At 49.0% G+C, this 26,135-nt stretch overlaps 1 protein-coding gene across 3 annotated transcripts, besides 11 other annotated features; it reads right to left on the reverse strand.

Moving 5' to 3' along the window:
* Window positions 715-915: a silencer, noted in NCBI's record as "peak5536 fragment used in MPRA reporter construct". NCBI's record gives its function as "represses an SCP1 promoter by STARR-seq MPRAs in K562 erythroleukemia cells {active_cell/tissue: K562}" and the evidence as "EXISTENCE:reporter gene assay evidence [ECO:0000049][PMID:32103011]".
* Window positions 4,314-4,853: an enhancer, noted in NCBI's record as "NANOG-H3K27ac-H3K4me1 hESC enhancer chr5:149820554-149821093 (GRCh37/hg19 assembly coordinates)". NCBI's record gives its function as "activates a minimal SCP1, AML or CMV promoter by ChIP-STARR-seq in naive H9 embryonic stem cells {active_cell/tissue: H9 hESC(naive)}" and the evidence as "EXISTENCE:reporter gene assay evidence [ECO:0000049][PMID:30033119]".
* Window positions 5,795-5,995: a silencer, noted in NCBI's record as "peak5537 fragment used in MPRA reporter construct". NCBI's record gives its function as "represses an SCP1 promoter by STARR-seq MPRAs in K562 erythroleukemia cells {active_cell/tissue: K562}" and the evidence as "EXISTENCE:reporter gene assay evidence [ECO:0000049][PMID:32103011]".
* Window positions 5,958-13,062, reverse strand: RPS14 (ribosomal protein S14). 3 transcript variants are annotated; one of them, NM_005617.4, is made up of 5 exons: window positions 13,026-13,062; window positions 10,908-11,058; window positions 10,125-10,286; window positions 8,932-9,008; window positions 5,958-7,676 (listed from the first exon to the last, which is right to left on the reverse strand). In NM_005617.4, exons 2-5 carry the CDS (start codon window positions 11,054-11,056, stop codon window positions 7,609-7,611), a joined length of 456 nt encoding a protein of 151 aa, NP_005608.1. In that variant the 5' UTR covers window positions 11,057-11,058; window positions 13,026-13,062; the 3' UTR covers window positions 5,958-7,608. The 3 variants fall into 3 exon arrangements, with proteins under 3 accessions (NP_005608.1, NP_001020241.1, NP_001020242.1); NM_001025070.2 differs by having other exon boundaries at window positions 12,815-13,062; NM_001025071.2 differs by having other exon boundaries at window positions 12,809-13,062.
* Window positions 12,579-13,517: an enhancer, noted in NCBI's record as "NANOG-H3K27ac-H3K4me1 hESC enhancer chr5:149828819-149829757 (GRCh37/hg19 assembly coordinates)". NCBI's record gives its function as "activates a minimal SCP1, AML or CMV promoter by ChIP-STARR-seq in naive and primed H9 embryonic stem cells {active_cell/tissue: H9 hESC(naive and primed)}" and the evidence as "EXISTENCE:reporter gene assay evidence [ECO:0000049][PMID:30033119]".
* Window positions 13,131-13,450: an enhancer, noted in NCBI's record as "active region_23417". NCBI's record gives its function as "activates an Ori minimal core promoter by ATAC-STARR-seq in GM12878 lymphoblastoid cells {active_cell/tissue: GM12878}" and the evidence as "EXISTENCE:reporter gene assay evidence [ECO:0000049][PMID:35858748]".
* Window positions 17,465-17,665: a silencer, noted in NCBI's record as "peak5538 fragment used in MPRA reporter construct". NCBI's record gives its function as "represses an SCP1 promoter by STARR-seq MPRAs in K562 erythroleukemia cells {active_cell/tissue: K562}" and the evidence as "EXISTENCE:reporter gene assay evidence [ECO:0000049][PMID:32103011]".
* Window positions 22,225-22,294: a silencer, noted in NCBI's record as "silent region_16510". NCBI's record gives its function as "represses an Ori minimal core promoter by ATAC-STARR-seq in GM12878 lymphoblastoid cells {active_cell/tissue: GM12878}" and the evidence as "EXISTENCE:reporter gene assay evidence [ECO:0000049][PMID:35858748]".
* Window positions 23,099-23,198: an enhancer, noted in NCBI's record as "active region_23418". NCBI's record gives its function as "activates an Ori minimal core promoter by ATAC-STARR-seq in GM12878 lymphoblastoid cells {active_cell/tissue: GM12878}" and the evidence as "EXISTENCE:reporter gene assay evidence [ECO:0000049][PMID:35858748]".
* Window positions 23,968-24,594: an enhancer, noted in NCBI's record as "H3K27ac-H3K4me1 hESC enhancer chr5:149840208-149840834 (GRCh37/hg19 assembly coordinates)". NCBI's record gives its function as "activates a minimal SCP1, AML or CMV promoter by ChIP-STARR-seq in primed H9 embryonic stem cells {active_cell/tissue: H9 hESC(primed)}" and the evidence as "EXISTENCE:reporter gene assay evidence [ECO:0000049][PMID:30033119]".
* Window positions 23,968-24,707: a biological region, named in NCBI's record as "H3K27ac-H3K4me1 hESC enhancer GRCh37_chr5:149840208-149840834".
* Window positions 24,388-24,707: an enhancer, noted in NCBI's record as "active region_23419". NCBI's record gives its function as "activates an Ori minimal core promoter by ATAC-STARR-seq in GM12878 lymphoblastoid cells {active_cell/tissue: GM12878}" and the evidence as "EXISTENCE:reporter gene assay evidence [ECO:0000049][PMID:35858748]".

Genomic DNA, 26,135 nt, shown 5'->3' on the forward strand with positions numbered 1-26,135 from the left:
GTGCTGGGACAGCAGTGACCTGAACGGAAAAGTCCAGTAGTCACCAAGCCCAGTGGTTCTCAAAATGTGGTCTCTGAACCATCAACATCAGCACTACTTGGGAACTTAGAAATACAAATCTTCAGACCGGGTGCGGTGGCTCATGCCTATAATCCCGGCATTTTGGAGGCTGGGTTGGGTAATCAATTGAGCCCTGGAGTTCAAGACCAGTGAGGGCAACATAGCAAGACCCCACCTCTAAATAAAGAAAAAGAAAGAAAGATGGAAGGAAGGAAGGAAGGAAGGAAGGAAGGAAGGAAGGAAGGAAGGAAGAGAAAGAAAGAAAGAAAGAGAAAAAAGAAAGAAAGAAAGAAAGAAAGAAAGAAAGAAAGAAAGAAAGAAAGAAAGAAAAAGAAAGAAAAGAAAGGAAGGAAGGAGGGAGGGAAGGAAAGAGGCAGGCAGGGAGGGAAGGAAGGAAGGAGAAAGAAAGAAGGAAAGAAAAAGAAAAAGGAAAGAAAGAAAGAAAAAGAAAGAAAGAAAAGAGAAAGAAAGGAAAGAAAGAAAAGAAGGAAGAAGGCAGGGAGGAAGGGAAGGCAGGCAGGCAGGCAGGCAGGCAGGCAGGCAGATATTCAGGCCTCCATCCCAGATCTACTGAATCAGAAACTCGGGGTGGGAGCCCAGCAATCTGAATCTGATGCATACTTGTTTGAGAACCACTGACTTGGTGATATAGATGTTAATACCAAGTTGGGCTAAGATCTACACATTTGGCCGCATACATGGATAAATAGCTTGAGAATGATGGGCAGAGGTGAGGGATGCTAATGGATCTGTGATGTCAGGGAAGTTTGTCTGATAAGGCGACAGTTTCCAGCAGAGATCTAAAAGTGAGTATCTAGAGGAAAGAGAAGAAGGTCATGCCATCTCCTCTTCAAGACTCTCCCTGTAGACTGTAGACTGCATTCATGACTCTGCTTACTTCTCACTGGCCACAACTTAGTTGTGTGAGTGACACTTAGCTGCCTGGGAGGGGGCTGGAAACTGTACTGTTTATTCCTTGTTTCTCTTAATTCTATGTTTCTTCTTTTTTTTCTATTTTAATATTGCTCAGACCATCCTCCATAAAATGTCATCTTCATTCTGATCAGCCATACACGCAGCTAAAAATTGAGATTCCTATTTCCAATAGAAGATGAAGAGAAAGCATACTGGGACACAATTATCTCTGCCACATGGTGGTTGAGTCCTTGAAATGTGGCAAGTCCAAATGGAAGTGTGCTATAAGTGTAAATGTACAATGAATCTCAAACTTACCACAAAAAAACAGTAAAACATCTTATTAATAATTTTTATTTTGATTATATGTTGAAGTGAAAATATTTTGGACATATTGGGTTAAATGAAATATATTATTAAAATTAATGTCACTTTTTGGTACTTTATTAATATGGCTACTAGAAAATTTGAAATTACATATGTGGTTCACTTTTGTGGCTTACGTTGTATTTCTTTGGTGCTAATTCTAGTGGGTTTTATTGTTGTTTTCAGTAAGGGAGAAGAGAGATGGTATGTTTGGTTTGGGAGCATTTGAATTTCACTGCTTGCACCTTTCTCTTTTATGTGTTTCTGATATAACTAGCCTTTGGAAGTCTTTTACACGTGTATGCCTCCAGTGATGGAGAGATCACTATCTCATGAAGCAGTTTAAATCTCTGAGCAGCTCTTTTAGAAAACTCCTTTTTAGGCCAGGCGCAGGGCTCACGCCTGTAATCCCAGCACTTTGGAAGGCCGAGGCAGGCAGATCACCTGAGGTCAGGAATTCGAGACCAGCCTGGCCAATATAATGAAACCTCATCTCTACTAAAAATACAAAAATTAGTCGGGTGTGGTGTCAGGTGCCTGTTAATCCCAGCTACTCAGGAGGCTGCGGCAGGAGAATTGCTTGAACCTGGGAGGCGGAGGTTGCAGTGAGCAGAGATGGTGCCATTGCACTCCAACCTGGGCAACAAGAGCAAGACTCTGTCTCAAAAAAATAAAAATAAAAATAAAAAACTCCTCTTTAGGCCAGGGATAGTGGCTCACAACTGTAATCCCAGTACTTTGGGAAGCCAAAGTGGGATGATTGCTTGACCCCAGGAGTTCGAGACCAGCCTGGGCAACATTGTGAGACCCTATCTCTACAAAAAGTGGGGAAAAAATTAGTTGGGAATGGTGATGCACACCTGTAGTCCCAGCTACTCAGCAGGCTGAGGTGGGAGGACTGCTTGACCCTGGGAGGTGGAGGCTGCAGTGAGCTACAATCACACTACTGCACTCCAGTCTGGGCAGAGGTCTTGTCTTCAAAAAAAATAAACATAAATAAAGAAGGGAAGAAAGAAAAAGAAAAGAAGGAAGGAAGAAAGGAAGGAAGGAAGGAAGGAAGGAAGGAAGGAAGGAAGGAGACCCCTGTTTATTTGATGTCAAGTCTACCTCTCTACAACTCCTTCCCTAGCCAACTTCTACCATCGTAGGACCACACATAACGACACTGCTGCCTCTTCCCTGAGACAGAACTTTACCTATTTGAAATCCCTTATACGTTTTCCTTTTTGGCCCATTTAAAGTAAATAACCCTCCTTTGCAGCCACATCTTGGGAAAGGTTTTCCTGATCCTGCACCAAGAGATTGAGGATGGCCTTGCTAGTGCCCTCTCTGGACAACAGGGGTCACTGCAAGGTCCCCCAGGTGAATGGAGGCTCACTGGGCACCAGAGGGGCTGGCAAGGCCGGTGCTCCCTCAGGCAGAATTGTCTTCAGTTCCAAATCCTCTTGGAATCTTCTCTGTTTTGTAATTTCTTCAGATTTATTTTGCAGTTCAGTAACTTTTTTTTTTTTTTTTTGAGACAGAGTCTTGCTCTGTCACCCAGGCTGGAGTGCAATAGCACGATCTTGGCTCACTGCAACCTCCACCTCCCGGGTTTGAGCGATTCTCCTACCTCAGCCTCCTGAGTAGCTGGGACTATAGGCACGCGCCACCAGGCCCAGCTAATTTTTGTATTTTTAGCAGAGATGGGGTTTCACCATGTTGGTTAGGCTGGTCTCAAACTCCTGACCTCGTGATCCGCCCCCCTCGGCCTCCCAAAGTGCTGAGATTACAGGCGTGAGCCACTTCACCTGGCCAGTAACTCTTCTTGCAGCTGGCTCTAATCTGCCATTTAACCTATCCACTGAGCATTTCATTTCATTGATCATACGTGTTTTTCTTTCTGAGGGTTTTCTCTGGTTCCATTTTGAATATACATGATTTTTTTAATAGGTTTTGTCCACTCTTTTTGTTCCATTGCATATTTCTTTCAACATTTCATATGTAGTTATATTCTAATTCTAATATCATCAGAAGTCTTTTGGGTATCTAAATCTGTTTGTTGTTTCTGCTGCCTCTCATTCTGGTGGTTTATTTGCGTGTGTGTTGATTTTTTTCTATGAGCTCTGAGAGGGCAGGGAGTGGGCCCATATTTGGTTTTACCTAATGTGTGGGAAACTGGAGGGATTCCGTTGTCAAGGGCTTTACTCAGAGAGGATGTGCTTTAACTTCTGCGAAGAGCTCAAGGACACTCCTACCTGGGCTCGTGCTAGCCCAGAAATCAGAGTATTTAGGGCTTAATGTGAATGTCAAGTTCAGCTCCCTCACTTTGTTTGGGGTTGGGGATGGGGAGTGATAGAACCTAGGTATAACCTCCCAGCCGCTCTCCAGGATTCTCCACCATTCTTCGCCTGCAGCTTTCCATTCGGTTTTTTCTTTTTTCCTTTCTTCTTCTTTTTTTTTTTTTAGATGGAGTTTTGCTCGTTTGCCCAGGCTGGAGTGCAATGGCATGATCTCGGCTCACTGCAACCTCCGCCTCCCGGGTTCAAGCGATTCTTCTGCCTCAGCAGGCTGGGTGCTGATGTGGCAGACATTGAACAAGACATACTCCCTTCCCTCTCAGGGCTCATAGACTTTGGCGGTGCGGGGGTGAGTAGGCTGTTGTGATAGAGGGTGACCAGTGGTACCATGGGGGAATAGAGGTGTTATGAGAATTCAGTGGAGAGGTACCTTGAAGGCATCCAGGAAGATACCTTTTGATCTCAAACTTCTGACGTCAGGTGATCCACCCGCCTCGGCCTCCCAAAGTGCTGGAATTACAGGTGTCAGCCACTGCGCCTAGCCTCCAGGAAGATACTTTTGAGACAGTGATGAAAAATTGATTCCAGGCCAGGCACGGTGGCTCATGCCTGTAAATCCCAGCACTTTGGGAGGCCAAGGCAGGAGGGTCACTTGAGTCCAGGAGTTCGAGACCAGCCTGGGCGGCACAGGGAGACCCAGTCTCTACAAAAAATTTAAAAATAGGTGGGTGTGGTGATGCACACTTGTAGTCCCAGCTACTCAGGAGGCTGAGGCGGAGGAGGATCACTTGAACCCAGGAGGTCAAGGCTGCAGTGAGCCGTGATTGTGCCACTGCACTCCAGCCTGGGCAACAGAGTGAGACCCAGTCTCAAAAACAACAACAAAAAAAAACAAAACAGATTCTAACAGGTAAGCAGATGATAGTGAGGCCAAGTTGGGGAGAGTAGATGCTCCATGAGCCAAGCTGGGAAGGAAGACACAGAGGAGAGGCTGAAAGCATGAGAAGGCATGGAGGAGGGGAGAACTGAGGGAAACAGGCTTGGCTTGGGCAGAGTGAGAGGAGGGCGGAGGATGGGGTGGGGCCAGCTAAAACACAGGAGATTCACTGAGGAGATTGGATCCTATTCTAAAGACAACAGGGAGGGCAGTGATAAAACAGCAGGGGAGGGCCAGGCGTGGCGGCTCATGCCTGTAACCCCAGCACTTTGGGAAGCCGAGGCAGGCGGATCACCTGAGGTTAGGAGTTTGAGACCTGCCTGGCCAATATGGTGAAACTCTACAAAAATGAGCCAGGCATGGTGGCGGGCACCTGTAATCCCAGCCACTTGGGAGGCTGAGGCAGGAGAATCTCTCCAACCCAGGAGGCAGAGATTGCAGTGAGCCTGAGATCATGCCATTGCACTCCACCCTGGGTGACAGAGCGAAACTCCGTCTCAAAGAAAACAGCAGGGAGTGACAGAATCCAGTTAGTTTTAGATGGCATGTTGCAATGTGGTCTAGAGATAGGCAGAGGCCAGAGGGAAGACTGGGAAACGCTAGGAAGGAAACCTTGGCATGGGAAGGCGGCCAGAAGGGGAGCAGGGGAGAGGGGCAGCGACTGTCTCTAGAGGTCTGGTTGGGGCTGCAGTCGCAGCTTCAGGCGCCTCTGCTGCAGGCTGCAGTCTCAGGTGGGCAGCAGCCCAGCCGCCTCTGCGGTCAATAGGCTGCTACGTTCCCACCTGAGCCACACCACAACTTGGCTCTCCTTTCAGGCAAAACCCCCGAAAGGAACTGCTTTCAAAGACCCGGCTGATTGCATCCCTGGTTACCAGGAAAGAGCAGGACAAGTTACAGTCTCACCACAGGAAATAAAAAGAATGCTCCGGCGACTGGCAGCATTTTTCTACCACGATTCCAGCCAGCTGTCCTTTATGCTGCTTGGCACAAGACCTGCACCAGTGTAAGAATAGCAGCAGCTTCTTCAGTGCCAGGCACTGCGCTAAACACTTTGATCTTGTGTGATTCCATTTGAGGCAGCCATCATCACAGGAGTTTCCACTAAACGGCTGAGAGGTTAAGTACTTTGCCTAAGGTTGAACGGTCTGAAGCTGTGGAATAGGATTTTCCTCCAGGTGTGTCTGCCTCCTGAGGGTCTGTGCACCACATCCTGCCTTAGACTGCCAGACTGACAGTATAAAAGCACCCCTCATTTTTTTTCCCTAATAATTTGACTTTGGAATAATTTTAAGTTTACCAAAAAGTTGCAAAGATACAGTTTCTGTGTGCCACTCACCCGGTTTCACCTGTTACCATCTTACATCGCCATGATACATTTGCCAAAAGTAGGAAACCACTGGTACATTACTACTAGCTTTATTCCAGACTTTAACTCCAGACTTTATTCATATTTTTTAATTTATTATTTACTTATTTAGTTTTTGAGATAGGATCTTGCTCTGTGACCCAGGCTGAATGTAGTGATGCAATCACAGCTCACTGCGGCCTCCACTTCCCAGGCTCAGGCAATTCTCCCACCTCAGCCTCCCAAGTAGCTGGCAGTACAGACGTGTGCCACCATGCCCAGCTAATTTTTTATTTTTTGTAGAGACGGGGTCTCCCTGTGTTGCCCAGGCTGGTCTCAAACTCCTGGGCTCAATCCGTCCTCCTGTCTCGGCTTCCCAAAGTGTTGGGATTATAGGCGTGAACCACTGTGCCCTGCCTTTATCCTATTTCACTAGTTTTTATACTAATACCCTATTCTGGTTCCAGAATCCAATCCAGGATACCACAATGGGCATTTAGTTTTCACGCCTCCTTAATCTCCTGTCCTTGACTTTCATGACTTTTAACAATTTAAGGAGTACTGTTATATTTTTTTTGCAAGCTTTTTTTTTTTATTATACTTTAAGTTTTAGGGTACATGTGCACAACGTGCAGGTTTGTTACATATGTATACATGTGCCATGTTGGTGTGCTGCACCCATTAACTCGTCATTTAGCATTAGGTATATCTCCTAATGCTATCCCTCCCGCCTCCCCAGGAGTACTGTTATTTCATCAGGTTAAGATTCAATGTTGTTATTAAAATCCCTAGCAAGGTTTGGCATGTAACCAACGCCGCCTCATCACAGTAACCCCTTGTCTCAGGACCCATTTATTTGCTTATTCCCTCTGCCTGGAACACGCCATCAAAGGCTAAAAGCAGCATCCCAACAGATTTTCCCCTCTTGCTGGTTTCTTTCCTCTACAACTGACTACCTCAATGGTCTCACCTCTCCAGCCTGTGACACACAGCATCCTCTCCACTGGGTCTCACTAACCCTACCCAGCCACCAGCCTGTCCTAACCATGGCAGGCACCATCACGGGGCCTTGTGGTAATCCCTTGCAAAACGCTGAGTACCATCTGGTGTCACTGGGTACTCAGAGCCGCATGCAAGCTTCCGGAAAGCAAGAACTTTTCTTTTTTATCGCTGATGAAAATAGGACTTGGTGTGTATTTGTGGGGTGACAATCTTTATGTACTTTATGTACTGATGTGGAACAATCTCCAAGATCTGCCAAGTGAAAAAAAGCAAGACGCAGTGGAGTGAGCTCCCAGCTTTGCACAGAAGGTGTGGGGGGAGAATGCACACCCACGTGTGTTTATATATGGCATGGGTCTGGAAGGCTCCTCTTTCGCTTCAGGCTACACTTGGATCAACAGTTCCCACTCTGGCTCTTTAAGAATTGGTCCATATTTAGAACCAGCATCTCCACTCAAAACGAGGTCTCCAACGCCTTGGTCTGCTTTAGATGACCAAGGCAACTTAATGCCGCAAGTAGCATGGAAAAGACCCCAAATGCAGCACCAGGATCTCAGCTCTCCTCAGGCTCCTTTCTCCCAAGAAGCCAAATAGGAGGAAGAAATCAAATGCCTGAGTAGCCCCTGATGAAGGAGAGAAGGCTGGAGTTGAAACAGTTTACATGAAGGCAATTTATTAACAGAAAATATTTTGAGGAATCTTGTTCACAGACGGCGACCACGGCGACCCCCCTTCCTGCGAGTGCTGTCAGAGGGGATGGGGGTGACATCCTCTGTGGGGAGGAAGAGAAAGCGTCATTGCCTGGAGCTGGATGGGAAGGGCCCCCAGGACTCCCTAGACCAATGGCCTAACCAATCAGCAACAGATCCTGCTGCTCCCCAAATGACTCCCCAGTACCTAACAGATGGATGTGAACATGAAGTGGCCCCATCTGCCAGTTCCTCGAATTTCCTGACGTGGTCTTAACTCACTTTCCAGAAAGGGAAACAGGCTGAGCTGTGCGCAAGATGTCAGAGGCACAGGACAAATCCAGGTTCTGACATCTAGCCCACCGTCTTCTCTAGAGGAAAAAACCCTTTTAGACAGGGTAACTGCAACTGTCTCGTTTTCATTAAGTAAAAAGACACTGAAAAAAAGTCTGAAAAAATCTTTTAAGGCTGGGCGCGGTGGCTCATGCCTGTAATCCTAGCACTTTGGGCTTTGGGAGACTGAGGCTGGTGGAACGCCTGAGGCCAGGAGTTTGGGACCAACCTGGGCAACATGGTGAAACTCCCCGCTACAAAAAAAAAAAGCCCGGTGTGGCACACACTGTTGTCCCAGCTACTCAGTAGATGCAGGTGGGAGGATCCTTTGGACAGATCCGCCCACGAGGCGAAATTTACAGTGAGCTGAGATTGTGCCACTGAATTCCAGCCCACGCAACAGAGCCAGACCCTGTCTCAAGAAAACAAAATCATCCTTCAAGTAGGACACAGTAGGAACTTTGGCCTGGGGCGTCAGTGTATGTCGCTACTAACTGCACAGAACAATGTGCAGGGAAAGACTACTGTTCCCTTCCTAAGAGCTGTAAGGAGCCAGGAGATCACAGGCCTGAGGGTATTAATAACAGAAGCTGGTACCCCCCACTTCATTTTTGGCTGTCACACGACTGGCATGCCCAACTGATATTTAGTAGGCGGAAACCAAAAATGCTGAACATCCTACAATGCAGGAGATGGTACACACAAAATGCTAATAGCAATGACCTCAAGAATGGAGGAAAGGACAATTCATCTCTTGTCAGTTTTACCTGCACCAGGCAGTGTAGGACAGAGATTCACAAATGAAACAGGACATTCATATCAAGGTGACAGAGATATTCAGGGAGAGATTTTTAAGTCACAAGGTGCCTCTTGCAGCCTCCCTTAACAAACTTAACTGCCAAAAGTGACCAGACCAGCCGCTGCACATCCACTGGGCACAGCACGTGCTTTTTGGGGCCAATGCTTCAAAATAAACCCAAGCATTAGCTAGAGGGGGGCACTTACCAATCCGCCCGATCTTCATACCCGAGCGGGCAAGGGCTCTGAGGGCCGACTGGGCCCCAGGTCCAGGGGTCTTGGTCCTAGAAAATGAAGGTTTAAGTTAAGAAGAGCCTTTGGCCAAGTCAATGGAAGATCTCCTTTCTAAGATCCCAACACCCCGCTAGTTCAGAGGTCTGCAAACTTTCTGTAAAGAGCCAGACAGGGCTGTACACAGTGGTTCACACCCATAATCTCAGCACCTTGGGAGGCTAAGGCAGGGCGGACTGCTTCAGCTCAGGAGTTCAAGACCAGCCTGAGCAACATGGTGAAACCCCATCTCTACAAAAATACACAATTTAGCCAGGCGTGGTGGCACTACTACTAGCAGTCCCAGCTACTCGGGAGGCTGAGGTGGGAGGACTGCTAGAGCCTGAAAGCCAGAGACTGCAGTAAGCTGAGATAGCGCCACTGCACTCCAGCCTGGGTGAGAGTGAGACCCTGTCTCAAAAAAGAGGAAAAAAAAAAAAGCCAGACAGTAAATATTTTAGGCTGAGGGGGCCACTATGGTTTGTTGTTATGTTCTGACCACTGTCTGGCTTGTTCACGCAACAGTCATCTATTTCAGCTTTCATGCCCCCATCACTCAAATCCAGGTCCTTCCCCTCTCCTACAGGACTCCACCTCTTCCCCTCTGACTGCACCTCATGCCACTCTTTCCTTCACAGGTGCCCAGGTTCACCCCCACCTCAAGACCTTTCCCTGCAGTTGTCTCTAGCTGGAATACCCTCCTCCTGTCCTTATTTCACTGGAAGGACTCCGGACTTATCATTTAGACCCTAGTTTAAATTACACTTTATCACCAACTCCTTACTTGTGCTTCCTGGCATTTGTCACAAATGAAAACCACATACTCCCTGGTGCTCTGTTGTTTAAAGTCTGACTCTCCCACCAGCCTCGGTCCCACACAAGGAGGGTAGAGACCATGTCTGTTTCCCCATCACTCTCTTCTAGTACCTGAAACACAGCTCCTAGTATACAGTGGGTGCTCAACACTGAGCTGCTGGGGGGTGTACACAGGAGCCAATTATTAAGTATGTATATGCCTAAAATATCTTGTTCAAGGTCACAACAAAAAACCCAAACCTCAAATCCAGGTGCTCCAGCACCCAAGCCCAGCAGGTTTTCTACCACCCAGCCATCCCCTCTGCGACTCGTACCTATTTCCTCCTGTGGCCCGGAGTTTGATGTGTAGGGCGGTGATACCCAGCTCCTTGCACCTCTGGGCCACATCCTGGGCAGCCAACATAGCAGCATATGGTGAGGATTCATCTCGGTCTGCCTTTACCTTCATCCCACCAGTCACACGGCAGATGGTTTCCCTGGGGACAAAAGCACAGGGTCATTTCTTCCTCGTCCAACAAGGAGTGCTTACGATATCCTAATGAGTGAAGAGCAACACAGCTCAGTCATGGTGGAGGATGATGGTCATGGGCTCTGCCCTCATGGAGTTCAGTCCAGTGGGGTTGAATGGCCCAATATAGCTATACTCAGTATTAACATTTTATATATCTACTTTTGCATTTAATCCTTACCATTACTCCACAAGGTAGACATTACTGTCCTAATTTTACATATGAGGAAACCAAAACTCAGAATCTGAGTGATTTCACACAAGTCACAACTTGCTAAATGGCCGTCGAACCCGCACCCAGAGCCCACTTGCAGTCCACTGCTGCTCCTGCAAAGGGAACTAGGGAAAGAAGATAATTCCCAAGAAACCAAGGATTCAATGACCATCACGCTGTAAGGACGAAGAATGTGTCTCCTCTCTTGTAACCCCTGGGAAATCACAATATTTGTGGGCTAAATGGACAAGCACATTTTCTTACCTGGACAAAACAGCATTTCTTTAGAGAGAATCCCCTGAACTGCTAGCCCGTCCCAGCCATTGCCTTCCTCAGCCTTTTGCCAGCTGGATGCCTCTCCACCCAGGTACTCACTTGCCAGAAAGATCAGTGACATGGACAAAAGTGTCATTGAAGGATGCAAAGATATGGCAGACACCAAATACATTCTCTCCTTCAGCCACCTGAGGTCCGAGGCTGATGACCTGTTCTTCCTTCTTTTCCTTCCCCTTTCGAGGTGCCATTTCTGAGTGGAAGGAAAAGAAACTCAAGGTTAACAGACAAAACATTTCCAGAATCCCTTTCCCCTGGCTATTAAATGAAACCCTAGTCCTGCTTCATGTCCCTGTCTTCTTCCATCCAATACTCTACTGTATTCTCTCATTTCTGCCTCACTAAAACTTCTTTCTCCTTGCACTTGGGGGGGTATCAACTGTGGCCACATGGCAAAGTACCATGAGAAGTATCCTTTCCCCAGAAACTACCAACAGCTCAGCTCACAGCACCTACAAGATAGAAGCCTAGGGATCTAGCAGCAGATGCCTGAAGGCTGCACCCCAAAAGGCAAGAAGAAACCCAAGACCAACAGCTACCCATGTACTGGTACCATTCCTAACACCCTTCATGGGGCGAGGGAGCTGCTTGATTCCTGCATGAACTCCTCAGCTTAGAATTCAAGGGACCCTTACCAACACAGCCCTCAAGCCTCTCATCTCCTGTTTTCCTGTGCTCCACCTGATCCCTTCAAAATGTTCAAAAATGCAACTGATTTGACTCCCACAACTATTTAGAACTAAATCTTTGTCACCAACATCAAATATCAAAGGCACTAAAATATATCCAAAAGGCAGGCTAATGGAAAAGACCCATCTCAGAAATCTGATGGGTCCTGAGACTAAATAACTCTAACCTATTATGACCTTCATAATAATTGCAATCATACTGTCACAAGATCTAAGGGAGAGAGAAACTGACAGGAGGAAGGCGGGTGAGAATGAATGAGAAAGTGGAAGGCTAGGATAAGACTGCTTCCGGCCTAAAGCCCCAGGCCTTCTGAACCTCCTGGTGTTCAGAACAATTTAACATTTTCAGAAGACACTAACACTAATCGATATCCTGCAGATGGTGAAGATAGAGAGTGTCTCAGCCTATGGTCACAGTAAAGACAGTGGCAAAACCAAACATAGAAACAACGTGTCCTGACTCCCAGCCCAGCACTCTCTGCCTCCTGCCAAGATGCCTCTACACCACAAATAACTACCCTAGTCTGTCTCAGGTGTTCCTAGATCTCTCCTCTGCCTTCCCTATATAAACTTTAGTTAAGTGTGTGACCACAGTAAGTACTTCAAGTGTAAGTCTTGGGTGTACGAAGTTAAATGTTCCTATCTTCAAATCAGACCAATGAGCACGACCCAGTGCGTTAACTATTGTAAGGAACGCGCCACAGGAGAGAAGCCCAAAGTTCTGCCTCGAGAAGCATAGAAAGGCTCCAGCATATCTCAAATACGTAAGCATGAGTATGTTTCGGCATGATGGCCATTCAGTAAATGCCAATTTGCAGTTTCTCCGTTCCTAACATCCCCTAAAGTAACGAGCAGAGTGGTCATCAGGAGTATATAAACGCAGGGCAAGCGCACAGCAAACATTGGTGCTGGGCCCTGAGCGCCCAGAACTTGCAACGTGCCCGACTCAGCAACGGAAAGAATCGCCCAGATTTAGAAGCATCCAACATAGTGCGAGAGTTTTCCCTGCTTTCCTTCTTTGAATGATCACTACAAACCCATGGGATCGGTGCTATTGTTATTCCTATTTTGCAAACGAGGAAACAAACGAGATTAGGCGTGGGCCTGCGATCACCAAGAAAAAAGTTTGGCGAGGTAGAGGCGGGAGCCCACGTCTGTCCCGGGTTCCCTCAACTACGCTGTGCAGCTCAAACGCGGCCGTGGCCGTGGCCGTATTGCGGGGCCGAGGCCTTAAAAGGCTGGACCCGCACTCACCCTTACTTCACAAGCTCCTCCCTGAAAGCAAAACGGGCCTTCTGAGACCAGGAACGAACTCAATCCCGAGTTGGCCAGGATCCAGGTGGGCCAGCCGCGCGTCTCTTGCCCGGCACCTAGCTCGGTTCCCACGGAAAGACCCCCGTCTCTCGTCCCAAGCCCCACAGGGTCCCCTCGCCGCAGGATGCCCCCCGATTGTCGCGCCCGGGCCTCCTACCTGCACGTCGTCTCCAGACTCCACACCGGAAAGAGAGAGTGGGAGGGGGCGGAGCGACGGGGGTCACTTCCGTGTCCCGGAAGTATACCTCTGAGGTCACGGGGCGAGGTCGGGTTCCGGAAGACGCCGGCATTATTCCTCCCAAAGAGTTTAAGACTCGTCATAAGGAAAGACGGTTTATTACTTAAGGGAGAGCGAAAAGAGGTAGAGGGCTGGTTGTCGCTGCGAGCGGGTCGGCCTAAGCGACAGTACGAAGCGGCTACACCCGCGGGGTGAGGTGGGCCTGTATTCCATGATGGCGGTGGTCGTGGCTAGACAGACTTCCGCCATCCTGACTCCCGCCCTGGCAGCCTTGGAGCGGCAGCGCCCCTTGTGTGGAGCAGGGGAATAACAACAACAAAACGGCCTTAATTAAAGCTAGGGTGGCGCCGGCCTGTGGTCCCAGTTACTCAGGAGGCTGAGGATCGCTTCGTCCAAGTAGTTCGAGGCCAGCCTAGGCAACATAGTCGGGGAAAACACACCGTAATCACTTACTTTGGCATATTATATAATGGGCAAAATAAGAATAAATTATTCAATATGTATTTTCAGACCGGTCTGGGCTAAACAGTTTATATGCATTGCTTCATTTACTCCTCAAGACATTATCAAATAATTTTGATTTCCCTCTTACAGATAAAGGATGTTAACTGAGAGCACACCTTTGCAGAAGGGTTTGGAATTCTAGCTTCAAAGCCCTCGTGTTTAATAGCTACTTCCACATAGCCCTCTAATAACAATATACATGTATATATTTCGACCGAATCTTGTTCTGTAGCCAAGGCTGGAGTGCAGTGGCGCAATCTCGGCTGACCGCAACCTCTGCCTCCCAGGTTCAAGCTATTCTGCCTCAGCCTCCCAAGTAGCTGGGACTACAGGCGCGTGCCACCACGCCCGACAAATTTTTTGTGTGTGTGTATTAGTAGAGACGGGGTTTTACCGTGTTGACTAGGGTGGTCTGGATTTTCTGACCTCGTGATCCACCTGCCTCGGCCTCCCAAAGTGCTGGGATTACAGGCGTGAGCCACCGTGCCCAGCCTCTAATAACAATATTGAAGGACCTTGAAGGCTTGGGAGAATATGTCGGAGCTGTGGGGAAGGGCCAAGAAGTGTACCTCACAGAGCTAGGCAAGCGGTAGATACATTTTATCTATGTACTATATGTAATATTTATATGGAATATATATAGTATTTTTGTATTACATACTATATAAATATTATAAATATATTTTAAATATATAAATATATCCCGTGGCTCCAGCCTGGGTGACACAGCGAGACCCTGTCTCAAAAAAAAAAAAAATTTATTCTGCTAAACTGAAAAACTCAACATACCTTCTTTTTTTTTTTGAGACGGAGTCTGGCTCTTGTTGCCCAGGCTGGAGTGCAGTGACGCCATCTTGGCTCACTGCAAGCTCCGCCTCCTGGGTTCAAGTGATTCTCCTGCCTCATCTCCCGAGTAGCTGGGATTACAGGTGTGCGCCACCACACCCGGCTAATTTTTGTATTTTTAGTAGAGACGGGGTTTCACCATGTTGTCCAGGCTGGTCTCGAACTCCTGCCTCAGGTGATCCACCCGCCTCGGTCTCCCAAAGGGCTGGCATTATAGGCGTGAGCCAATGCACCCAGCCTCAACATACCTTCTCGTTGCATTGCATTTCTTCGATGATGAGTGACGTCAGACATCTCTTTACGGATTGTTTTAACCATTTGCATCTCTTCTGTGAAATGTCTGTATTTTTTGAAGGAGAGGGCTTTTTTGTTTTAATGAGCTTCCCAGTATGTTAGCAGAGACTGGAGTATTGTGGAGTGAGTTCCGCTTTGATTAAGAGTTGTATTAAACAGACCTCCAAACCTCATGTGGCTTCATGGAGGGAGCAAGCCTTGATCTTATGGCTGAAGGCAGCCCACACAATCACCTCAGGACAAATTTTTCCACAGGGAAGCCTATCTTTATCCCAGAAACCATCAAAGTCACTGCTTTCAAACTCCACTTTATTTAATCAACATATTTATTGTTTCTGCAGTTATTAGCTATGGTTCTTTGGGCAAAAATTGTAACCTCTCTGGGCTTCAGTTTTCTCATCTGTGAAATGGGATGATAATAGCATATTTTTATTTTTATTCATTTTTTTTTTTTTTTTTGAGACAGAGTCTCACTGTTGCCTTCCCCTGCCTCAGCCTCCCTAGTAGCTGGGACTACAGGCACACACCACCACACCCGGGTAGTTTTTTTTTTTTTTTTTTGTATTTTTAGTAGAGACGGGGTTTCACCATGTTGGCCCAGGCTGATTTCGAACTCCTGACCTCAGGTGATCCAGCCCCCGCGGTCTTCCAAAGTGCTGAGATTACAGATGTGAGCCACCGCGCCTGGCCGATAATAGTACATTTTTAAATGTATGTTGAAAACTTCAGGGCTCAGTGGCTCACGCCTATAATTCCAACACTGTGGGAGACTGAGGCAGGAGGATCACTTGAGCTCAGGAGTTGGAGACCAGTCTGGGCAACATGGTGAAACACCTTCTCTACAACAAATAGAAAAATTAACCAGGTATGGTGACCTGCACCTATAATCCCAGCTACTTGGGAGGATCACCTGATCCTGGGAGGTGAAGGCTGCAGTGAGCTGTGATCACACCACTGCACTCCAGCCTGGGCGATAGTGAGACCCAATATATATATTTTTAAAATGTGTAATGAAAACCTGTATCTTTTGTGTTTTGAGACAGAGTCTCACTCTGTCGCCCAGGCTGGAGTGCAGTCGCACGATCTCAGCTCACCACAACCTCCTCCTCCCGGGTTCGAGCAATTCTCCTGCCTCAGCCTCCCAAGTAGTTGGGATTACAGGCGCCCTTCACCACACCTGGCTAATTTTTTGTATTTTTAGTAGAGACGGGGTTTCACCATGTTGTCCAGGCTGATCTTGAACTCCTGACCTCAGGTGATCCACCAGCCTCGGCCTCCCAAAGTGCTAGGATTACAGGCATGAGCCACCGCACCCAGCCAAAAACCTGTACCTTTATTGGACGCTTACTCTTTGTCAGGCACTGAGATACAATCATGGCATTTGAACTGAGACTTGAAAGTAGAGTAGGAATTAGCTACGTGAAGGTGTGAAGAATGGTCTGGGCAGGGAGAATAGAATATGCAAAGGCCCTGAAGTGGGTAGGTGTTTGGAGAACTCAAGGAATTAAAAAATGGCCAGTAGTACTGGGGTGTTGTGAATAAGGGAAGAGGAATGGGGGCTGAGGCTGGAGGGGCAGCACAGCCACTTTCCGTGGGGCCTCACCTCACTGTTGCCATGTCTGCGTTCCCCACCCCACCGCACCCCTGCGCTGTCAACACTGCCAGCACAGGGGTGTACTTACCCTCCCCTCTCAGAGCTCACACACTCACTCAGGGAGCACTCACTGAGCACCTAGGATGTGTCTGACATTGTAAATACTTGGGATACATCAGTGACAAAAACAATGGTCCCTACCCTCTCAAAGTCTACATTCTGGAAGGAAGAGCAGACATAATGTCTATGTAAGCTTCCTATTTTGTTAGAAAGTGGTCAGTCCTGTGGAAAGAAGAAAAAGTTGGCCAGGTGTGGTGGCTCACACCTGTAATCCCAGCACCTTGCATGGCTCAGGTGGGCAGATCACCTGAGGTCAGGAGTTTGAGACCAACCTGGCCAACATGGTGAAACCCCGTCGCTACTAAACATACAAAAATTAGCTGGGGGTGGTGGCAGGTGCCTGTAATCCCAGCTACTTGGGAGGCTGAAGCACGAGAATAGCTTGAACCTGGGAGGCAGAGGTTGCAGTGAGCTGAGACCGCGCTGTTGCACTCCAGCCTGGGCGACAAGAGTGAAACTCCATCTCAAAGAAAAAAAAAGAAGAAGAAGAAGAAAGAAAAAGTCAGGCTGGGCGAAGGGTACTGAAGGTCTGAGGAAAGGGGTGGGGTGGGTGGCTGAATTAAACAGAGAGGGCCAGGCAGCCTTGCTGAGGAGTGATTTGAGCAGAGCTGTGAGGTGGTGAAGGGGTGGCCTGCCCCTCCACACCTGTGGGTGTTTCTCGTCAGGTGGGATGAGAGACTGAGAAAAGAAAGAGACACAGAGACAAAGTATAGAGAAAGAGTGCCAGGGGACTGGCGCTCAGCATATGGAGGGCCCACGATGACACCGGTCTCTGAGTTCCTTCAGTATTTATTGATCATTATCTCTACCATCTTGGAGAGAGGGATGTGGCAGGACAATAGGGTAATAGTGGGGAGAGGGTCAGCAGGAAAACGTGTGAACAAATGTCTCTGTGTCATAAACAAGGTTAAGAAAAAGGTGCTGTGCTTTGATGTGCACATACATAAACATCTCGGTGCATTAAAGAGCAGTATTGCCGCCAGCATGTCTCACCTCCAGCCCTAAGGCGGTTTTCTCCTATCTCAGTAGATGAAATATACAATTGCGTTTTACAACGAGACATTCCATTGCCCAGGGACGAGCAGGAAACAGATGCCTTCCTCTTACCTCAACTGCAAAGAGGCCTTCCTCTTTTACTAATCCTCCTCAGCACAGACCCTTTACGGGTATCAGGCTGGGGGACGGTCAGGTCTTTCCCTTCCCACAAGGCCATATTTCAGACTATCACATGGGGAGAACTTGGACAATATCTGGCTTTCCTAGGCAGAGGTCCCTGCAGCCTTCCGCAGTGTTTTGTGTCCCTGGGTACTTGAGATTAGGGATTGATGATGACTTTCAAGAAGCATGCTGCCTTCAAGCATTTGTTTAACAAAGCACATCCTGCATAGCCCTAAATCCATTAAACCTTGAGTCGACACAGCACATGTTTCTGCGAGCACAGGGTTGGGGGTAGGGTTACAGATTAATAGCATCTCAAGGCAGAAAAATTTTTCTTAGTACAGAACAAAATGGAGTCTCTTATGTCTACTTCTTTCTACACAGACACAGTAATGGTCTGATCTCTCTTTTCCCCACAAGGTGGGAGAGGGAGCCAGCCTTGCAGGTATCTAAGGGAAGATGGTTATGGGCAGAGGGAGCAGTATGTGCAAAGCCTAGAGGCGGGAGTATGACTGGCATGTTCTAGCAACAGCAAGGAGGCCAGGGTGGCTGGTATGGGGTGAGCCAGGGCAGGCAGGTGAGGAGATGTGACGAGAGGTCACTGGGGGTGGAGAGAGATTGTGTAGACCATGTAGGCCTTAGAGTTCATTGGCTTTTACTGAGTGGAGCCACTGGAAGGTTTTAAGCAGAGGGTGACAGAACTGACTTCTGTTTTAATAGGTGCACTCTGGGTGCTCTGTGGGGTGGGGTGAGGGGCAAAAGTAGAAGCAGGGATGACGGTTAGGAGGCTTTTGCAATAAAGCAAGTGAAAGACATTGGTAGCTAAGACGGAGGAGGCATCAGTAGAGGTAGAAAGAAGTCGCTAATATTTGGTTTTATTTTGAAAATGGGGTCCGATAGCTTCTCGGCCTTTTGGCTAAGATCAAGTGAAAATGGTGGCCGAGTGCAGTGGCTCACGCCTATAATCCCAGCACTTTGGGAGGCCAAGGTGGGTGGATCAATTGAGGTCAGGAGTTCGAGATCAGCCTAGCTAACATGGCAAAACCCCATCTCTACAAAAAATACAAAAATTATCTGGGCATGGTAGCGCGCACCCATACTCCCAGCTACTCGGGAGGCTGAGGCATGAGAATCGCTGGAACCCAGGAGGCAGAGATTGAAATCGTACCACTGCACTCCAGCCTGGGTGACAGAGTGAGACTCTGTCTCAAAAAAAAAAAAAAAAAAAAAGAAAAAGAAAAGAAAATGAGAAAATGGATCCAACAGGATTTACTGATAGATTAAACTAGACATGGGGCATGGGAAAAGAGTGTTGTCAAAGATGATTCTAGCATTTATGGCTGGAGGAACCAGAAGGATGGAGTTGCCCTCAGCTGGGGTAGGGAAGGCAGAGGGTGGAGGAGGTTTTTAGGGGAAGATCAGATGCCCACTCGTAGGCCTGAGTTTGAGCTGTTTATTACATACCCGAGTGGAGCTGTCAGAATGACAGCTGAGATAGATGAATCTGGAATTGAGAAGTGGATCAGGGCTGGAGGTGTAAATTTGGGAGTCTCCAGCATACAGATGGTATTTAAAATCACAAGACTGATTTTAATCACGAGTCCCGCCAAGGGGCTGAGTGTAGATAAAGAAGAGGCTAAGGACTGAGCGTTGAGAGCATGGGGATAAGAGAAGGAGAGAGCCAAGAAAATAAGCCATGAACAGAAATGAAAGGAGACCAGGAGAGGGCACATCCAGAAGGCAACTGGAGAAATGCAATCAAGCAGAAGGGAGTGTGCACCTGTGCCATCGCGCTTAGAGGTCAAGGATAACAAGGGCTAAGGATGACCGTTGGATGTAGCAACATGAAATACTGGGGACTTTGACAACAGCAGCTTGATTGGGGGGCTGGGTGGGGGGAGTGCAAAAGTGTGAATGGAGTAAGAGAGGGAGGTCCACACCTCTTGGACAGCTCTTTCCAATATTTATTTATTTATTTATTTATTTATTTATTTATTTTAAGATAGAGTCCCTCTCTGTTACCAGGCTGGAGTGCAGTGGTGTGATCTCAGCTCACTGCAATCTCCACCTCCTGGGTTCAAGTAATTCCCGTGCCTCAGCCTCCTGAGTAGCTGGGATTACAGGCACACGCCACCACACCCAGCTAATTTTTGTATTTTTAGTAGAGAAGGGGTTTCACCATGTTGGCCAGGATGGTCTCAATTTCTTGACCTCATGATCTGCCCACCTTGGCCTCCCAAAGTGCTGGGATTACAGGTGTGAGCCAGCATGCCTGGCCCAATTATTATTATTTTTTTAATTTTTAAAATTTTGTTATTTTTGAGACAGAGTCTCACTCTGTTGCCCAGGCTTGAGTGCAACCTCTGCCTCCCAGGTTCAAGCGATTTTCATGCCTCAGCCTCCGTATAGCTGGGATTAGAGGTTTGCACCACACACCTGGCTAATTTTTGTATTTTTAGTAGAGATGAGGTTTCACCATGTTGGCCAGGCTGGTCTCGAATTCCTGACCTCAAGTGATTCGCCCGCCTCGGCCTCCCAAAGTGCTAGGATTACAGGCATGAGCCACCGTGCCTGGCCCTCATTTTTCTTTAAATACTGAGTCTCCCTAAGTTGCCCAGGTTGGTCTTGACCTCCTGGGCTCAAGTGGTCCTCCCACCTCGGCCTTCCAAAATGCTGGGATTACAGGTGTGAGCCACCATGCCCAGTTCCTTCATAGACAGCTCTTGAGTTTTTCTGCAGAGGTGTGCCAGGGGGCAGATGGAGAATGGGAATGTGAGATCAAGAGGTTCTTTTTTTTCCTTTTTTAAGGTTGCATCAATAACAGATATTTTAACACTGCTGGGAATAGTCTAGAAGTGAAGGAAAAACATGCTGGAGCCCTGACATTGAGCAGGCAATAGGTAAAGGCCTCTGCTGCGCATGTGGAGGCATCGGCTTTAGGCAGGAATGTGGACAGCTCACCTCAGGTGCTAATGAGGAAGGAAGACGGTGGGGGCAAATGTGGCAGCAGGAGCTGGAGAAAGTTCTCATTCCGGAAGTGGAAAGCAAGCAGCTTCCTCTCAACAACCACAGGAGGTAGAAAATGTTTAATCCCCCCCGTTATAACTGAGGACACAAGGAAAAGGTCAACAGCTCTAAGTGGGGCACCAGGATCTGGGCCCAAGCAGTCTGACTCCAGAGCCCAATTCGTGTAACCTCAGGTACAGGTGTTTTGTAAATATCTGTTGATTGGATGAAGGAAGAGCAAGGAATTAGCCTGCAGCAGCAGAAGCCAAGCCCTTTCCTGGGTCCTCAAGCTCAACCTGGAAGGCCCCGTGCTCCCCATTCTCGGCAGCAGCTCATACTGTCATTTGTCCAGGAGCTCTATCCCCTCCTCCCCTTGAAGGGTAGTTTGCAAATGCAACAGAGGAAGGGTGGGAAGAAGCTGTGGCTCAGAGAGGGTGAGTTTGCTCACCAGGACACACAGCCAGGAATCAGACACCAACTGTGGCCCAGGTGGTCCTGGGACTTGGAGGGAGGACCTTCTCAAAAGTGTTGGCTGCTGTGAAGCTGTCGTGGAGTCATGGGTCTATTGCTGGTCTGAGCCCCAGAACACACATGAGCGCTAGTCTGCGTGTGTAAGTGTGGCACACAAGGGAGAGCGGCGGTGTGTGTGTTGGGGATTAGGCCAGGTGCACACCCTCCAGGGTCCAGGGGAGGAGGGGCTACAAAAGGCCTGGAGATGGCTCCCTCTGTAGCAATGCCCCTCTAGAGACCGGCAGGCTTCGTCCTCCAGGGCTGTAATTCACCTGCTCCCCGTGCTCACAGGACTCACACGCGGTCTGCGAGCAACTGATGGGAGCCCCTGTGTGCCCCAGGACCTGTCATCTCAGCACTCGCCACACAGTGACCGTGTCACGGCCTGCTGCCAAGGGGCTTTGTCTAGCAGGGAATATGGGCAAGAAACAAGGACAAAGTAAGGAACGGGGGATACGGAGGGCTCTGGCTTGCTCAGGGGCCTTGCTGGAGGGCCCAAAATGGGAGTAGGAGACAGCCAGGACAGGAAGAAGAGGGTGGGAGAAAACTCCCAGCTCAGGCCGGGCGCGGTGGCTCACGCCTGTAATCCCAGCACTTTGGGAGGCCAAGGCGGGTGGATCACGAGGTCAGGAGATCGAGACCATCCTGGCTAACATGGTGAAACCCCGTCTCTACTAAAAAAATAAAAAAATTAGCCAGGCGTGGTGGCGGACGCCTGTAGTCCCAGCTACTCAGGAGGCTGAGGCAGGAGAACGGCGTCAACCCGGGAGGCGGAGCTTGCAGTGAGCCGAGATCGTGCCACTGCACTCCAGCCTGGGCGACAGAGCAAGACTCTGTCTCAAAAAAAAAAAAAAAAAAAAAAAAAAGAAAAGAAAAAGAAAACTCCCAGCTCACGAAACAGCACGTGGAAAGGTCTTGAATCAAAGGGGACCTGGGATCATTCAGGGATTCGGGAGAAGTCTCTGTGCTGAGGGGAGGGGGTGGGTGGGAGGTAAGATCAAAGGTTGGGGCCTGGGCCTTGGGGGCGGTGGGTGAGAGGTCTCCCTCGCTCTGACCCAACGGAGGCAGATCCTCGGTTTGATCCTGGGCCCAACTCTGCTCAGTGAGGAATGTCGGGGCGGGGTCCCGGGGTGCGGCCCCACCCACGGTGCGTGGAATACAGGGGCGGGGAACGCCCGCTCTTCCCGAAGTGCCCGCTAGATGGCGCCAGATCTCCGTGCTGCAGGGGAAGGACCCGCCTCGGCGGGGCAGGTACACGTGGAGGGTGGAGGGTGGAGGGTGGAGGGTGGAGGGTGGAGGGTGGAGGGTGGAGGGTGGGCGGAAGGCGCAGGGTGAGGTGTCTAAGCCCAGAAGATGGTTGGGACGTCCTAGGATGTGGTTGTGATGTGACGACGGCCTTGATGTACATTCTCCCTTTGTGTCCCATCACACCCCAGGAGCTCAGATTATTATTCTCATTTTACTCAGCGGGAAGCTTTAAGTAGGATGAGGTCAGGGCTGCGCCCAGGTCACTCAGCTGGTTCAGGGTGGTGAAGTGGACAAAGATGGCACCCGGCCTCTGTGTGCCCTGCCTGCCGCAGGCCAGCTCGCAGAGGGCCTGCGCTCAGTCCATCCAAAGGGAAGGGCAGTGCCAGGGCAGCCCAATGGCTGGCAGTGCCAGGGCATGGATCCCGAGTCGTTTATTCATTCAGCGGGTTTATTGAGCACCTACTGTGTGCCAGGCACTGGTGAGCGATAAAGCAACGGATAACACAGACATGGGTCTCCTTCCCCACGGAAGGGACAACCTAATGGGGAGACAGCCAGGCGTTATACAGATAAGCCTGCCAACAACTTTATTATTAGAGATTGTGGTAAGGGCTATGAAGGAAATACGCACACCTGAGAAGATTCCAAGGTAGGCTCACTCTCGAGGTGGGCAGGGCTCAGGCACAGGGAGGGCTCAGGAGGAGATATGGAAGCTGAGACCTGAAGCGTGCGAGGTGCAGCCATGAGGAGGGCTGGAGGAGCAGCCTTAGGGGCAGAGAGGACAGCAGTGCACAGGCTGCCAAAATTGGGAGGAGCCCGAGGAACTGCAAGGAGGCGGGGCTGGGGCCAGGAGAGAGAAGAGTGTTAGGGCTGTCCCTGAGGGCAGGGGCCAGATCCTCTGGGCCTGCTAGGCCCTGCCTTGTCAAGGAGTGTAGATTTATTATTATCGTTGTTGTTGTTGTTGTTGTTGTTGTTGTTATTATTATTATTATTATTATTATTATTATTATTATTTTGAAACAGTTCTGCTCAGTCGCCCAGGCTGGAGTGCAGTGGCGCGATCTCGGCTCTCTGCAACCTCTGCCTCCCAGGTAGCTGGGATTACAGGCACGTGCCACCACGCCCGGCTAATTTTTGTATTTTTAGTAGAGACAGGGTTTCACCATGTTGGCCAGGCTGGTCTCAAACTCCTGACCTCAAATGATCCACCCGCTCCGGGCTCCCAAACTGTTAGGATTACAGGCGTGAGCCACTGCGCCCGGCCAACTGTAGATTATATTCTGATTGCATGGGAAGGCAGTGAAGAGCTTTAAGCAGGGAGCCACATGTTCTGATTTGTCTTTAGAAGTCCACTCTGGGCCAGGAGTGATGGCTTGCACCTGTAATCCCAGCACTTTGGAAGGCTGAGGCGGGAGGATCGCTTGAGCCCAAGAGTTTGAGTCCAGACTGGGCAACTTAGCAAGCAAGACCTTGTCTTTACAAAAAATAAAAATAAAATAAATAAAATAAAAATAAAATAAATTTAAAAAATAAACGAAAGTCTACTCTGGCTTTGGAGAATTGGCTGAAGGTGAGCAAGAGAGGGAGCAGGAGGAGGTGGAGACGGTCACGCTGGTGAGAGGTGACGGGGGCTCAGACCGCGATGGCAGCTGTGAAGATGGAGAACAATGGTCAGATCTGAGAGATACTTTGGAAGCAGAATCTGTAGAATTTTCAGATGAATTGGATGGAGGGGTGAGGATGATTGTAGGTTCTAGGCTTGAGCAACGGGTGGATGATGGGGCTATTAACCAAGGTGGGGAGAGCCAGGGGGAGGTCACAACTTGGGTGGAGGCTGGAATCAGGCTCAGGCCCTGCTATTTTTGGAGCCTTCTGTGTGATATCCTAGTAGAAGGATGGGGCAAGCAGTTGGAGCTTATTGGAAAGTTCAGGACTGCTGATGTAACCTCAGGAGCCTCTAGGTTGTATTTTATGTCAAGGGATTGGATGAGATCCCTTCACACAGCCCACAGTCTGGCAGGTAGTGAAGGCCTCATCACCGGAGGTGTGCAGGACAGGCTGGCTGATGCCACTAGAGAGAGGAGGCCTCTTTGAGGGGAGGTGGAACAAAATAGACCCTGAGGATGCCAGATAGCAGGACTCGGTGCCCCTGGGGCCACACGGAGGAGCTGGATATGCTGGCTCTGTCTCTTTGTCTGGTTGGAGCCTCCTCTCCCTTTGGCACCATTCCCCCACTACCATCTGGCAGGGTCCAGAGACACACAGACCCTGGGGTGGGATGAGGGGCAGCCTCAGGGATGGGGCTGTAATTTCAGCTGGGGGCAGGGCTCCTGAGTCTCAGCCACCTGGTGTGAGGTTCCTCTTTCCGGCACCTCCTCATGACTGTCTTGCCTGACAGCCCCATCCCCCACAACTGCAGCTACTCAACACCTCTCAGGAGGAGGCCCAGCCCAGGGAGCAGCTCCCTGCTGTGTCCCACCTGGAAAGGCATTGAGTCTGCTGGTGCAGCATCCCCGGGGGTGGGGGAGGGAACTAGAGGGGCTGCCAAGCTTAATTAGTAGTTGTGAATCCCCGAAACCTGCATCTAGAGAGGCCCCCCAGACTTTCATCTTCAAAACCTCCCCACCCACCTGGATGAAAGGGCCAGGGAGGGGCCAGGTATTAATAGTAATTATTAGTTTCACTAATAAGGAGAAGAAATGGGATTATCACCACGCTCAACAAGTTCTCCCCTCTTTGTCTACCTCTTCTCTCCTTCCTGTGGGCTCCTTTTTCCTTCCTCTCTCCCTCCTCCTTTTTTATTTTTCTCTTTTTTAATTTGTAGAGATGTGGTTTCACCATGTTGCCCAGGCTGATCTTGAACTCCTGGGCTCAAGCAATCCTCCTGCCTCAGCTTCCCAAAGTGCTGGGATTACAGGCGTGAGCCACTGGGCCCGACCCTTCTTTCTTTTCTCCTCTTCTCTAGGCCTTGCCACTTCCATCTGTCCTTGTTTCAAGGCCTTGGGATCTGCCTGCCTCTCTCGGTTCCCTTGCTGTCTATTGGGGTGTCTTAGGTACCAGGACATTCGGGGAACACCTGTGTTCATCTGGGTTGCTGAGGGAGAGACATAAGGGTGAGAGAATGTTGTTAGGATGTTGGTGTCCATTCATTCATTCATTCAGTCATTCATTGTTTTATAAATAATAATTATTATTATTTTATTTATTTTTTTGAGACAGAGTCTCTCTCTACCCCCTAGGCTGGAGTCCAGTGGTGCAATCTTGGCTCACTGCAACCTCCAACTCCCAGGTTCAAGCGATTCTCCTGCTTCAGCCTCCCGAGTAGCTGGGACTGCAGGCGCCTGCCACTACTGGCTAATTTTTGTATTTTTATTAGAGGCGGGGTTTCACCATGTTGGCCAGGCTGGTCTCGAACTCCTGACCTCAAATGATCCACCCACCTCGGCCTCCCAAAGTGCTAGGATTACAGGTGTGAGCCACCACACCTGGCCACAAATAATTATTGAACACATACTGTGAGCCAAGCACTGGGTTGGGCGCTGAGGATTCGGCGCTGAATAGGACAGATGTGGGCCATGCCTGCCCAAGTCAACATCCTAGCAGGGAAGATGGACAGTAAACAGTAAACTAACAGATAGACATAAGGTCACAGAGTGTGGTGCAGACTATAAAGGGAATAAATTGCAGACAGGATGGAGAGCTATGTGGGTGGCTACTTTAGGCTGGGGCACCAGGGAGGTGACATTTCA

This window comes from Homo sapiens, chromosome 5, assembly GCF_000001405.40.
Source record: "Homo sapiens chromosome 5, GRCh38.p14 Primary Assembly".
Taxonomy (NCBI): Eukaryota; Metazoa; Chordata; class Mammalia; order Primates; family Hominidae; genus Homo; species Homo sapiens.

Excerpts from the sequence above, each read along its gene's own strand:
- RPS14 (NM_005617.4), bottom strand. The coding sequence starts at position 11,056 with ATGGCACCTCGAAAGGGGAAGGAAAAGAAGGAAGAACAGGTCATCAGC. Across the intron at positions 9,009-10,124 it reads CGGGCCACAGGAGGAAATAG|GACCAAGACCCCTGGACCTG; the intron begins GTACGAGTCGCA and ends TTCATTTTCTAG. Across the intron at positions 7,677-8,931 it reads TATGAAGATCGGGCGGATTG|AGGATGTCACCCCCATCCCC; the intron begins GTAAGTGCCCCC and ends TCCTCCCCACAG.